Source organism: Homo sapiens, chromosome 19 (assembly GCF_000001405.40).
Source record: "Homo sapiens chromosome 19, GRCh38.p14 Primary Assembly".
NCBI classification, from domain to species: Eukaryota; Metazoa; Chordata; class Mammalia; order Primates; family Hominidae; genus Homo; species Homo sapiens.
The window spans coordinates 47,370,707-47,383,626 of record NC_000019.10 but is presented as its reverse complement, the minus strand read 5'-3'; the positions used below and the strand labels follow the sequence as shown (position 1 = coordinate 47,383,626).

Here is a 12,920-nt window from a genome sequence, read left to right as displayed (position 1 = left end):
TGCTGACCTCATAACATCAGTCAGGAGGCGTCCTCCCCTATGCTGTGGCCAAGTGGGTGTGGGCGAGTATCATTTCCATGTTTGGTAGACGTCACCAGGGAGCCCATCTGAGCCTGTTCTCTTTGTTAACTATGAATTACATTTCCTTAATAGAGTTGTTCCGGTTATCTATTTCTTCCTGAATGAGCTTTGGGTAGCTAGTGTCTTTCAATAATTTTTTCCATTTCAAATGAGTGAATTTCTGTGTGGCACGTTGTTTATCGTATTCTCTTCTCCTTTTCGCATCTGTAGGACCTACAGGTTGTCCTCCTTCCATTCCTATGCCGTGCCTTCTTTTTCTCCTGAGTGATTTTATTGTTCTTTTCATTTTCTTTTTTTCTTTTAGAGATGGAGTCTCGCTCTGTCACCCAGGCTGGAGTGCAGTGGCACGATCTCGGCTCACAAGCAACCTCCGCCTCCTGGGTTCTAGCAATTCTCCTGTCTCAGCCTCCTGAATAGCTGGGATTACAGGCACACGCTGCCACGCCCAGCTAATTTTTTGTATTTTAATAGAGATGGGGTTTCACCGTGTTGCCCAGGCTGGTCTCAAACTCCTGAGCTCAGGCAAACCACCTGCCTCAGCCTGATTTTTTTTTTTTTTTTTTTGAGATGGAGTTTCACTCTTGTCGCCCAGGCTGGAGTGCAATGGCATGATCTCAGCTCATTGCAACCTCTGCCTCCCAGGTTCAAGTGATTCCCCTGCCTCAGCCTCCCCAGTAGCTGGGATTAAAGATGCCCACCACCACACCCAGCTAAGTTTTTGTATTTCTAGTAGAGACAGGGTTTCACTATGTTGGCCAGGCTGGTCTCGAACTCCTGACCTCAGGCGATCCACCCGCCTCAGCCTCCCAAAGTGCTGGGATTACGGGAGTGAGCAACCATGCCCGGCTCAGCCTGTTCTTTTATTTTTTTATTACGGGAGTGAGCAACCATGCCCGGCTCGGCCTTTTATTTTTTTATTGTGAGTGGGTCTTATGGTGCAGCCTGTGGTCCCACGTGAACACCAGTGCTCCCAGCCCCCCTGCACAACTCTCAAAGTGACCCAGGTGGATGGGCAAATTCAGGGTCCCCCTACTTCAAGGGGTAGGAGAGACTGAGGATGGACTCAAGAGAGAGCGGCTGCGGAGGTGCTAAGAACCTGCACCTGGAATCTGGAGACATGGGAGGTCCCTGCTGGCTCTAACGCCCCTCCTACCCAGGACCCCTCAGGCAGCACCCTGCAGCAGGAAGAAGGAAAGCTAGACCCTGGGGAGGACTAACAAGGCAGCTGCTGCTTTCTGGATGGGCAGGTGCAGGCCTAACAGTGTGTATCAGCATGTGAGGCTTTATTCACAATCCGTGCTCCAGGCCCTCTGCACTGGGACAGGACCACAGGGCTAAGCCCAGGCTGGGGGTTCAGGCAAGAGTCCTGCCCCTAGTCCTGGGCTGGAGGGCAGGTCAGCTGCACGGAGGTGGGCAGGGCTCCTGGCCCAGCTCACACGTGCTGCTTCCGGTGGCGCAGCACCTCTGTGGGTGTAAAGAGGAAGTCCTTCCCGCAGGCCTCGCAGTGGTAGGGCCTCTGCAGGACAGATGTCTTCTGGAGGGTTTCGAGGGCAGCTTCCTCAGCCCCTAAGGGAGGAAAAGGAGGAGGCTGTGAGGGGCGTGTTCCAGTGCACAGGTCTACCTGCACCCAAATGCCAGGCACCTGTGGGGCTCAGGTTCTCTCCTGGCCTTTGGAGAACCCAGTTTTGCCTCCTCCAGGAAGCCCTCCCAGATTAATAAAAATACACAGGTCTGTCTTTACTCCGCATCCCTGCCAGTGAGAGAGACAGAGAGAAAGACACAAGGAGAGACATGGAGACTGAGAGGCAGACACAGCCAGCCGGGGATGGAGGCATGTGGCCCCAGTGCTATCTCCCCCACTGAACCCCAGTGTGTGGCATCCCTGGGTGACAACAGGGTGGAGGTGACCAAGGCAGAGATAGCTGCAGGACAGAGAAAAATAACAAGAGACATAGCCACAGAGAGACAGAAACAGAGACAAAGACAGCAACACAGAGACACCACAGGGGACAGGCAGACAGAAAGAGGTGGCGCTCCAGGCTCTCCCTGCCTTGGGCTCCTGATCTTCAGGACAAGGCCTGTGTGTGGCACCAGCCAGGGCCAGCGGGTGGAGGTCGTCAGTCCTCGAAGCTCTAGCAAGTGCTCACACGCACAGGAGACCATCATGGGATGGGCAGACGGCTGGGCAGAGGTGGCCGGGTCCCCACAGTCCTGTGCTTACCTGGGGGCCCATCCTGTGGGGCCTGGGGGCAGGTGTTCTCATGGGCGATGCGCTCCAGGGGCGTGAGGGGCGCATGCAGGCCACAGTGGGGGCAGGTCCAGAAGGTTCGGAGACAGTCGCTGTACAGGTCTGTGTCATTCTGTGGCAGGCCAGCTGTCAGGGCTGGGCCCCCGCCAAGTGCCACCCACCACCCAAGTGCCCCCCCGGGACCCTTCCCAGAAGCCCTCAGGGCCACGGGCCCCACTTGGGAACTATGTCCCTGGACTAAGGTGAAACGGGGTGGTGGGGTCTTCCTGAAATCCCACCTTCAGGGAAGGAGGGTTCATGCTTACCGTGAGGCAGTTGTAGGTGAGGAAGTCAGTGACTGCGTAGCCCCCCTTTGTGGGGTGGGGGGACAGGGTGGAGCTGCCAAAGAGGCCAGGAAGATGGGGGGTGGCTGGGATGGTCTGGGGTCCCACATACATGTTCTGGACTTCTAGCCCTGTGAGCCGCCGGAGGCTGTAAGGAATCTAAGGAAGGAGAGACAGGAAATGGAGAGAGACAGACTCAGGGAGATGCCGCCAAAGCACCTGGATCCAGCTGTGCCTGAAGCCCTCCCTCGGGCTTTGCAGTTACGGGAGCCAAGTGCTTACACCAATCACAATTTGGCTGCAGACACACATGACCAGGGGTCTGTCTAGAATATACCTGATAACCCACCCCCATCTAAATTGCCCTCCCCAGGCCCCTCTTCTGCCCCTGTCACTGGTGGGACCCCATTCAGACCTTGAGTCTAACCTTCAAGTCTGGCCACCTCCCCCCTCCTCCTCCTAGCATGTCAGCCTTGGTCCCCTCTCCATGGCTCACTGGGTTCCTGCTCCTTTGTCCTCAAGCCCTTCTACTCCAGGAAGTCAGCCTGGATTGTACCCTTCTCCCCACCCCACCCACATGAAGTAGAACCACGAGCAATTTCCACTCCCCACCTAAGAGTCAGGGGCTGGTTTCAAGTCTGCTCAGTTCAGTTCTTCCCATCCACAAGCAGACGTCTACGGCTTCCCTCTCACACCCTGCCTGTCCTTTACTGTTAGCAAGAGGGGATCAGCCACGCTTGCAGAAGGTGCTTAGTAAACAAGGCAGCAGTGGGTAGTGTGGCCTCTGGAACCAGGCTCCTGGGATCAAATCCTAGCTCCACCCAGACCAGTGGAGTGACCTTGTGTAAGTGACTGAACCTCTGTGGCCTGAAAACCCCCAAATGTGCCCATGTGGAGTGAATGGGAAGCCAGGCCTTCCCGAGGCTCAAGCCCAGTGACGGATGCCCCTTCTGGCCATAGGGAGGCACGGGCACCCTGGTGGAGGGTACCTTGGATGCCGTGAATTGCAGGAGTTCCTTGCTCAGGGTGGCCACCTCCTTGGGGCTGACTGGCGTATCCTCCTCCTCCTCCTCCAGCTGCTGCTGGGCCTGGTGCGCCAGCTGCCGGTCCAGGGCACTTTCCCAGCGGGCACGGAGCCGCAGGGAAGCCGCCAGGAGTCGGATGGCACTTTCACTGTCTGCTAGCTGCAGCTCCAGCCAGCCATCGGCCACCAGGCGGGAGCAGTCACCATTGGTGTCCAAAGACCGGCTAAAAAGCAGGAGGGACTGAAAGAGAGGGGGCAGAAGACAGGGAGTAGGTGGGAGGGGCAGGGCGCTATTGGAGACAGGCCCTGCCCGGCTGGGCTCCTGCCCACCCACCAGCCCTGTCTATGTGAGGCATCCACCTACCCGCCATCTACCCGCTGTACCAGGCACCCCTTCGGGTGCTGGGGATACGGCATGAACAAGGCAGCCGCTGAGTCAGGGAAGGGGGCTGGGGTGGCGGGGCGGCAGATGGGAGCGTGCTGGGAGAGAGACAGCTGCATTCTCAGGCAGGGTGGCAGAGGGACAGCAGGCACTCAGACACACACGACGTGCAGGGAGAGCCCAGACCCTGAGCACACGCTCCTCTGTGAGGACGGAAGTCAGCGCTGTAATTACCAGTGCTGTGGCTCATAAGATGTTGGGGAAAATCCTCAGGGCTGGGGCCAGGGCAGAGGAAAGGGCAGGACTGGCCATGCGTGGATGGTTTGGGGACCGGGGATGGTACAGGAGGGCTCCATATACTGTTCTGCCTGCTTATGTGAATGTGAAGTTTCTCCATCTTCTTCTTCTTATTATTATTATTATTAATTTATTTATTTATTTGAGATGAGTCTCACTCTGTTGCCCAGGCTGGAATGCAATGGCGCAATCTTGGCTCACTGCAACCTCCACCTCCCAGGTTCAAGCGATTTTCCTGCCTCAGCCTCCCTAGTAGCTGGGATTACAGGCACGCGCCACCCACCCGGCTAATTTTTGTATTTTTAGTAGAGATGGGGTTTCACCACATTGGCTAGGCTGGTCCCAAACTCCTGGCCTCAACTGATCCACACACCTCGGCCTCCCAAAGTGCCGGGATTATAGGCGTGAGCCACCATGCCCGGCTTATTATTTTTTGAGACAGTGTCTCACTCTGTCACCCAGGCTGGAGTGCAGTGTCAACAATCACAGCTCACTGCAGCCTCAATCTCCCAGGCTCAAGCAATCCTCCTGCCTCAGCCTCCCGAGTAGCTGGGATTACAGGCACACAACACCACGCCCAGCTAACTTTTTAAAATTTTTTGTAGAGATAGATAGAGTCTCCCTATGTTGCCCAGGCTGCCTTTGAACTCCTGGGCTCAAACAATCCTCCCACCTCAGCCTCCCAAGGTGCTGGGATTCCAGGTGTGAGCTGGCCAGATTCTCTCAACAAGCAGTCCAGTGCAGGGAGAGAGCGCCTCAGGTAGCAGGTCTGTTCCGCTTCCTGCGGCCCGGCTGGTCGCCAATCCTCTGTCCCTCGGCCTGCGTGCTGCCTGCTTTCCCATGCTCACATGAGCACCTGGCATCACCCTTTTGGTTTGCCGTCTGCCTCTACCATCCTATCTGAGCCCCATGAGGGTGGGGAGTTTGGTTGACATTGACCACAGCTGCACCCCCGGCCCCAGAACACTGAACACTAACAGTGCCTGGCCCACCAGACGGGCTCGAGGGAGGTGTGGACACACACAGAAGTGACTGAGCTGAGCTGGCTTTTGTGGTGTTGGTGGCAATCGCAGTGTCAACAAAACCCTGAGGCTCTAGGAGCCTGCAGGTTCCTCTCTCCCCTCCACGTTCCCTGGGACCCAAGCCGGGGAGTGCTGGTAGTGAGCCAGGAGGCAGGAGGGGGCAGTGTGACCCAGGAGCTCTGGCTTGGCCACCTGCTCGGTGTGTGACTTAGGTGACGTATCCCCGCCCCTGCCTGAGCTTCAGTCCCCTCTATAAAGGGAGACCCACAGGGCTGCGTGAGGACTCCGAGGCCAGGCCTAGGATCACAAAGACGCTCGAGGAGCACTAGGGGCAGGGCAGTGGCTGCCATGGGGCCCATGGCTCTGCTGCCGGTGCCCATGCAAGGGCATCCATGATCTGAGTTCGGCCTCAGCCTCCACCGGGGCAGCACCCTCCTCTCCCTCCTGGCAGCTGCCAGCCCTCCTGGCTGGGACCCTGTCCCAGCTCTGAGAAGTCCCCAGGGTCCTGTCTCCCTCGCCTCTCTGGCCTCATCTCCACACGCTCTCCCTTGCTGACTGCACGCCAGGCACATGTCTGCCTCGGAGCCTCTGTGCAGGCCACCCCACTGCCTGGAACACTCTGCCCCGAGATCCACACGCTCTCCTCTTTGGGTCTCTGCCTGGGGACACCAGGTGGCCTTATCTTGTACCACACCCTGTGTCCACCCTCCCACACGTCGCTCAGGGCATCACTGTGCTACTGCTGTCACTGTCCCCTGCCACTAGAGCCCGAGAGGGCAGGGGCTGGGCTTCATGCCTGGTTCCCTGCTGCGCCCTTGGCACCTGGCACAGCGCCTGGCACCCAGCAGGCACTTGGCAGGTTAACTGTTGAGCAAGTCCATGAATGAGAGAAAAAGCAGCCACAGCAACGGCCCAAGGCTGACGCCTGCGGCCAGCCCAGGTGCCAGGTGGCCCCTCCAAGCCCACGCGGTGCCCCCACCCACCACCCTGGGCAACGCAGCTCTCATATCTGGGCATGGGGGCGGGGTGGGGCAGAGGCCCACCTGGAGGGCAGGGATGCGGACGCAGTTCACCAGGTACGGCTTGTTGGTCTCCAGCAGGGACACGAAGCTGAGGAGCTGGTGTTTGCTGCTCATCTTGTCCTTGTCGTCTGAAAGGTTGAGGAGGACCGCTCAGGCCCACCCTGGCCCACCCAGGCCCATCAGAAGCCCGCCTGTCCCACCCGGTCAAAGTACACATCGATAGAAAGAGTATGCTTACGGCATGGCTTTGGTGGCCTGGCTCAGACAAGAAGGTCAGCCAAATCTGAATGTGACTCCCAGCACGCAGCCATGCCTGCAGCGAGACACCCTTCCATGCACACGGGTGCCAGGGGGGCCTCCCTCTGCAGGACCCACCTGGGAGCTCACAGAGTCCATAGGACAGGCCCCCTGACCGGTGCTCACTCTCTGGGCACAGCCACACTGGCTTAGGTTGACTATCACCACCATGCGGAAGGTGAGGCCCAGCAGGGGTGAGTCACCCAAGGCTACCCAGGGAGGCCTGGCCCTGGAACTTCCCCTCCTGTGGGCCCCCGTCAATACCAGCCTGGGCCGGTGTGGGAGCCCCAGCCAGAGGGGCCTGGGAGTTCACGGTATCCCTGCCCCTCACATCCCGGATGGGGGTTCCTTCCGCCTGGGCTCACTGTACCTCGGCTTCCGTCGCAGTTGCTGGCCTCCAGCTCCTGTGCGTGCAGCACCTCGGGGCTGCCAGCGAAGACGCAGGTGGGGTGCAGCACGGCGCCCTGCTTGGCCTGCGTGTGGAAAATCTGCGGAGGACAGAGAGAAAGCACAAGCCCTCCTATCTGCTCTCTCCTCTGCCCAGGATGCCTCTCCTCCACCCTCTGGCCCAGGTTCCCTCCTCCAGGAAGCCCTCCCTGACTCCTCCAAATCTGGGGCAGATGCCCCCTGTGGGCTCCTATAGTGCTCTTGACTCCCCAAGCCCTGCCCACTCTGGGTTGTCTGGGGATGGGTCTGTCCTCCCACTGGGTTGTGAGCCCCATGGGGACAGAACCAGGGTTGTTTCAGTCACCACTGCATTCCCGGCACAGGACAGGCACTCAGGGTTCGTGTGTTGGAGGACAAAACATAGGATGGGGCAGAACAGGCCCCACCTGGTCTGAGTCCTTTCGGCTGCTGTTGAAGGCGTCGGGGACGGCCAGCTGTGGGTACAGGCCCCGGCCCAGCACCAGCTTCAGCAGAGCCAGCTGCTCGCGGCTCAGGTCCTGGGCTGAGCTGGCAGCGGCCTGCAGCTGCGCCAGGTCATGCCGAAGCTTGAACTTCACATCCTGGGGGGAGCACGGGGAGGCAGAGTCTTAGGGGACCTGAGGGGCTCCTACCATGATCCGCAGACCCCCAGGCTCTGCAGATACCTGGGACCAAGCACCGTCCATGGAAACCCGGCTCCTGAAATGAGGACAGGGCCATGTCCCCTGGGACCCCCCCAGGAGAGGCCAAGGCCCACCTTGGTAAACCCCCACACCCCACAGCCCATGGCGCCCACCTGGATGTCCACGCCATCACTGGCCCCTGGGGGGGCTGGGCCAGCCCTGTCCTCGTCACTGGAGCCGCCGTCCTGCTCCTCCTGCAGCCGCAGCACCTTGCGCCTGCGCCCCGCGCCCTCCTCGTGCTGGCGTTTCAGCTGGTGCAGGGCCCGGCGCTCCCGGCGCTGCTGCAACCGACTGTAGCTGTCCCCTACCTGCGCGGCCTGGGCCCCAGCCAGCAGCCCGTGGTCCTCCAACAGCTCCTAGGGGCAGGTGGGTAGGGGTGAGGGCCTCAGGGCAGACTCAGTGGGCTCTGGACTCATGGAAATGGGGACCCTCCCAGTGGCAGGGCTGCTAGTGCCCAAAGGGGGCTGAAAACAGCCCCTCGCATGGTGCTGGGCATGGATCGCTGCTCCAGAGAGAGAGCTGTCCTCGCTGGTCAGTGGAGGGAACACCGGGGCCAGGGGCAAGAGGAGGCAGGTGCGGGCGTCCAGTGCCTTTTCCCACAGCTGGCTCCAGGCTCTGCTGACTGCCCCACCTGCCCCTTGGGTCTGGGGGGCCCTGCTTTCCCACACAGCCCTGGTGGGCGTCCTGCACTAGTGCTTCTGAGTGTAGCCCTGGGGCATCTAGGCACATGCTGGGAATGCCAAGTCCTGGGCCTCATCCCAGAACGACCAAGTGGAGAGAGGAGGGGGCTCGGCGGGGTTGGCCATCTGGACCCAACAGACCCTCCAGCTGCCTGTGACCCATAAAATCTGAGACCCCTGCCCTCCCCGTGCCCACATCTTGTCAACATTCCTCAAGTGACCCAATTTGGTTGGACCTTCTGTTTCCTGCTGAGCCCTGACCGATGGAGGACACAGGAGATTGTGCGTGCATGTGTGTCTGTATGTGTGCATGTGGGTGCAAAGGGCTCACACTTTCCATTAGATTCTCAAAGCATCTGGGGACCAATGAAGCCTGAACACTGCTCTAGCAGCCAGAGAGAACTCGGGACCCATGCTCAGAGCAATCGGGGCATCTGTGGTCCCCAACACCGGGACCCCAGAAATGGTACCGGAGGTGTCGGCTGGGTGACTGCCCCCTCTGGGCCTCAGCTTGCCCATCTCCAACCAAACAGAATGGATTACACCAGGAACCCTTTTATTCTATTCTCAATCCATGGATACAACCATGGAAAAGGACCTAACAGCAGGTCTGTCTGCACTCAGATGGAGAACAGTATCTATGAAACAAGCTGCAGAACTGTGTGGGCGCAGGAGAAACCCAAATCTTTTTTTTTTTTTTTTTTTGAGTGGAGTTTCGCTCTTGTTGCCCAGGCTGGAGTGCAATGGCTCAATCTCGGCTCACCACAACCTCCACCTCCTGGGTTCAAACGACTCTCCTGCTTCAGCCTCCCAAGTAGCTGGGATTACAGGCACGTGCCACCATGCCTGGCTAATTTTTGTATTTTTAGAAGAGACGGAGTTTTACCATGTTGTCCAGGATGGTCACGATCTCCTGACCTCGTGATCCACCCACCTCGCCCTCCCAAAGTGCTAGGATTATAGGCGTGAGCCACCACGCCCGGCTGGCAAGTGCTATTTTTATCCTCTCTTTTTATCGAGGGGAAGCTGAGGCCCAGAGACAAGCAGTAACACACCCGGGGCCACGCTGTCAGAAATGGCAGAGCTGGGATCTGTGGCTGAGGTGTCTGGCTCCAGATGTGCCGGCCAACCACAACCGTAGGCTGCCTCCAACACCATGCCCATGCAGCCAGCTCAGCATCCCCAGTCCGGAGGGCGAGCTCTTCCCGAGGATGCTGCATGTCCACTGACTCGGTCCACCCCTCCAGGAAGCCCTCCTGGATTTCTGCTCCCTTTGCTCTGCCCAGCTGCCCCAACACCTGGTCACCGGGTGGTGGGGGAGGTGGGTGCAGGGTGGGATTCTGGTCTGACCACTGTCTGGGAAGGGGAAGCAGTGTTCTGGAGTGTGCTTACACACGTCTGCCTGAGTGGGGCCGGCCTTACCCCTCCTCCCGAGCCTCACCTTGAACTGGCGCCGAAGGTTGGCCATTTCGTACAGTCGATGCTCCTCTATGCCCCGGCGGCGGCACCACTTGCGAGAGTTTCTGCTCCGTTCAGATTTCACCTGGGTGGAGGAGCAGACGCCAGGGTGTCAGGGCCTGGCCAGTGCGGGGAGGGAGGGGCTGACCGAGCACCCAGAGCCCCAAAATGGGCATCCCTCAGGGACACCTGCTCTCCTGCTTCCAGGTCTCAGCCCCAGTGCCCCCTCCTATGGGAAGCCCTCCCAGACTACCCACAAACTGGGTTAGATGCCCCGCTGGGTTGTCCCAGCCCCCTGGACTCCCCATTCCAGCCCTCTCTGGGTTGTCACTGTCACATCAGTGGTCTGTCTCCCTGCACTGGGCTGTGAACCCCGGGAGGGCAGGGCCAGGGTAGTTTTGGCACTGATGGGCCCCCAGCACTACACTACAGGGCCAGGGTTAGGGTGAGGACTCAAGGGACATATACTGGATCTCCAGATGCCTCCCAAGGAGCCTGGACTTTCTCCAGGTGGCACAGGTTTTCATCAGTGCTTCAGAAACCCCAGGCTCCTCTCAGCCCCGGGCCTGGGCACATGCTGTCCTGAGCCGAAAGCATGGATGATGGAGACATGGCCCTCCCCAGGCAGGCCCAGTCTGTGGGGGGCTCAGTGGTCCTCCCAGGGTGGGGCTGAGGGTGGGACACGAGGAGGAGCCACAGCCACAGAAGGCCTTGGCCCTGAGCAGGGTGACAGACAGAGGGCCCCCACCACCAGCCTCACCTGCACCCAGGCGTTGAAGACGTTGAAGAGCGTGAAGGGGTCACCCTGGTCGCTCTCCAGCGGCCGCCGTGCTGCCGCGCACTCTGGGCTGCTCTGGGCGCTGCGGGTGAAGGGCGACTGGACGCTAAGTGCGGCTGCGATGGTGAGCACAGGCTCCACCAGGCTGAACATGGAGCCCAGGATCAGCATCTTCCCTGCAGCGGCGGACACGGGGTTGAGGCTCCTGGGTGCCAGGACAGGCGCAGCCCTCACCCCTCGGGGCCCCAGCCTGCCCTCCCGCCTGCCCTCCTGCTCCCACCCCCTCCATCTTGCCCACTAAGGGTCTTGTGACCCAGATGGAGATTCAAACCCACGCGCTGTGCTTTCTGGTCACGTGGCCATGGGCAAGGGCCTCAGTTTCCCCATTTGTAGATTGGAGATGGCCAGTCCCTGCCTCCTTGGACACACAGGAGATACTGTCTAAGCGCTGACTACTCCTGTCACCAAGTTCCCCACTTTGCTATTTACAACCCACTCCCCCAGCGCTCTGATGCTTCCCTGGCTTGGTCTTTGCTCTAGGAGCTCATTTTGACCCATCACGGTGGACGTCTCTCCTCCGCGCTAGAGTGTCACCTGTAAGTGAGTCCCTCTAGCTCTGCCCTGGCACAGGCAGGCACTGACTCCTGTGCTTATCACAGGATGAATCTTCTCCTGCAGCCTTTGTTTAGGTCAAGGTGGAAGTGGAAGAGGAAGAGGGGACAGAAGGCGAAGACATGGAGAAAGATGGGGCAGGGGCTGGGAGAGGTAGGGAAAGGGGAGGAAGGACAGAGGGGAGGCCACAGAGAGGAAAAGTGGCAGGAACCGTCTCCCAGGGTGGCCGAGTCTCACCTGGAGACAGGTGAACCCTGTCTCCATCTGTGAGCGCTCCACAGCGGGCATCTAGACATCCCCTGGTTCTGGGCGCCCGAGCTGACGCTGGACTTCTGGGGGCTCCCTTGCCCACCTGTCCAGTAACTAGTGGTCTGTGTCATGTGTCTGACCCGCCCCCACCGTTGACCTTCACTGACTTTCCATAGTGCCTGTCACAAAACTGGACTCAAGCAGATCACCTGAGGTCAGGAGTTCGAGACCAGCCTGGCAAACCTGGTGAAACTCCATCTCTACTAAAAATACAAAAATTAGCTGGGTGTGGTGGCAGGCGCCTGTAATCCCAGCTACTTGGGAGGCTGAGGCAGAAGAATCACTTGAACCCTGGAGGCGGAGGCTGCAGTGAGCTGAGATCTTGCCATTACACTCTAGCCTGAGTGAACAGAGCAAGACTTCGTCTCAAAAACCAAACAAACAAAAAAAGCTGGCCTCATAAAACAAAGGTGGCAGTAAAGCAGGGCTTGGGGCTGTACTGTGCAGGCCCCTGTCCTATTCCAGGACACCCCAGCTCTGTCACCAGGGAAAAGTGGCCCCACCTCGCCGTGACGCTGCTTCCCCATCTGTAAACGGGGGAACAACAGCATTGGCCTCTCCTCAGGCTGCCAAGAGGATGCTTTGTGTTTCACCCTGTGAAGCGTTCAGAACTCCACCTGGCACAGAGGACGCCCAGCACAGGGTCATCCGTGCCTCTCAGTTCCCACTGTGACCCTGAGCAGCAGTTCTCTGAGCCTCGTTTTCCCCACAGGGCAAGTGGGGGCACCTGCCCCCAGCCCTCAGGGAGATAATGTGAGTGAGGCATTTACCATCACCTCCGATCAAAGCCAGGCTTCCCCATGCCCTCAGGAGCCTCCTGGGCCCAGCCTCAGTTTCCCCATCTACACACTGGGGGCGATCAGAGGCCCTGCCCTCAGCAGGTAAGGATGAAATAACGGAAAGTCCACAGAGCCTTTCGCCGGCACACAGCAAGAGCTCACAGAACATTCTTCTGCTTCTCAGTTCAGATTCTCCCTGCTCTAGCCCTGTTTCCTTCCAAAACAAAAATGAAGCCGGGCGCAGGGGCTCACGCCTGTAATCCCAGCACTTAGGGATGCCGAGGCTGGCGGATCACTTGAGGTCAGGAGTTCAAGACTAGCCTGGCCAATGTGGTGAAACCCTGTTTCTACTAAAAAATACAAAAACTGAGTGTGGTGGCACATGCCTATAATCCCAGCTACTCAGGAGGCTGAGGTGGGAGGATCACTTGAACCCGGGAGGTGGAGGTTGCAGTGAGCCAAGATCATGCCACTGCACTCCAGCCTGGAGGACAGAGTG

At 59.1% G+C, this 12,920-nt stretch overlaps 1 protein-coding gene across 8 annotated transcripts in view; it reads right to left on the bottom strand.

Moving 5' to 3' along the window:
- Window positions 1-922: 922 nt before the first annotated feature.
- DHX34 (DExH-box helicase 34) overlaps window positions 923-12,920 on the bottom strand; it is a 33,390-nt gene continuing 21,392 nt past the window's right edge. For 7 of the 8 annotated variants that reach the window (XM_047439759.1, XM_047439760.1, XM_011527550.3 and 4 more), the window contains 10 exons: window positions 10,704-10,897; window positions 9,927-10,028; window positions 7,919-8,161; window positions 7,530-7,703; window positions 7,067-7,184; window positions 6,421-6,527; window positions 3,642-3,917; window positions 2,635-2,811; window positions 2,303-2,441; window positions 923-1,647 (listed from right to left, as the gene is read on the bottom strand). In XM_047439759.1, the coding sequence (XP_047295715.1) occupies window positions 1,514-1,647; window positions 2,303-2,441; window positions 2,635-2,811; window positions 3,642-3,917; window positions 6,421-6,527; window positions 7,067-7,184; window positions 7,530-7,703; window positions 7,919-8,161; window positions 9,927-10,028; window positions 10,704-10,897 (1,664 nt within the window). In that variant the 3' untranslated portion in view covers window positions 923-1,513. Of the gene's footprint in view, window positions 1,648-2,302; window positions 2,442-2,634; window positions 2,812-3,641; window positions 3,918-6,420; window positions 6,528-6,637; window positions 6,713-7,066; window positions 7,185-7,529; window positions 7,704-7,918; window positions 8,162-9,926; window positions 10,029-10,703; window positions 10,898-12,920 lie in introns of those variants that run through there. The other variant, XM_047439761.1, reaches the window with a different exon arrangement.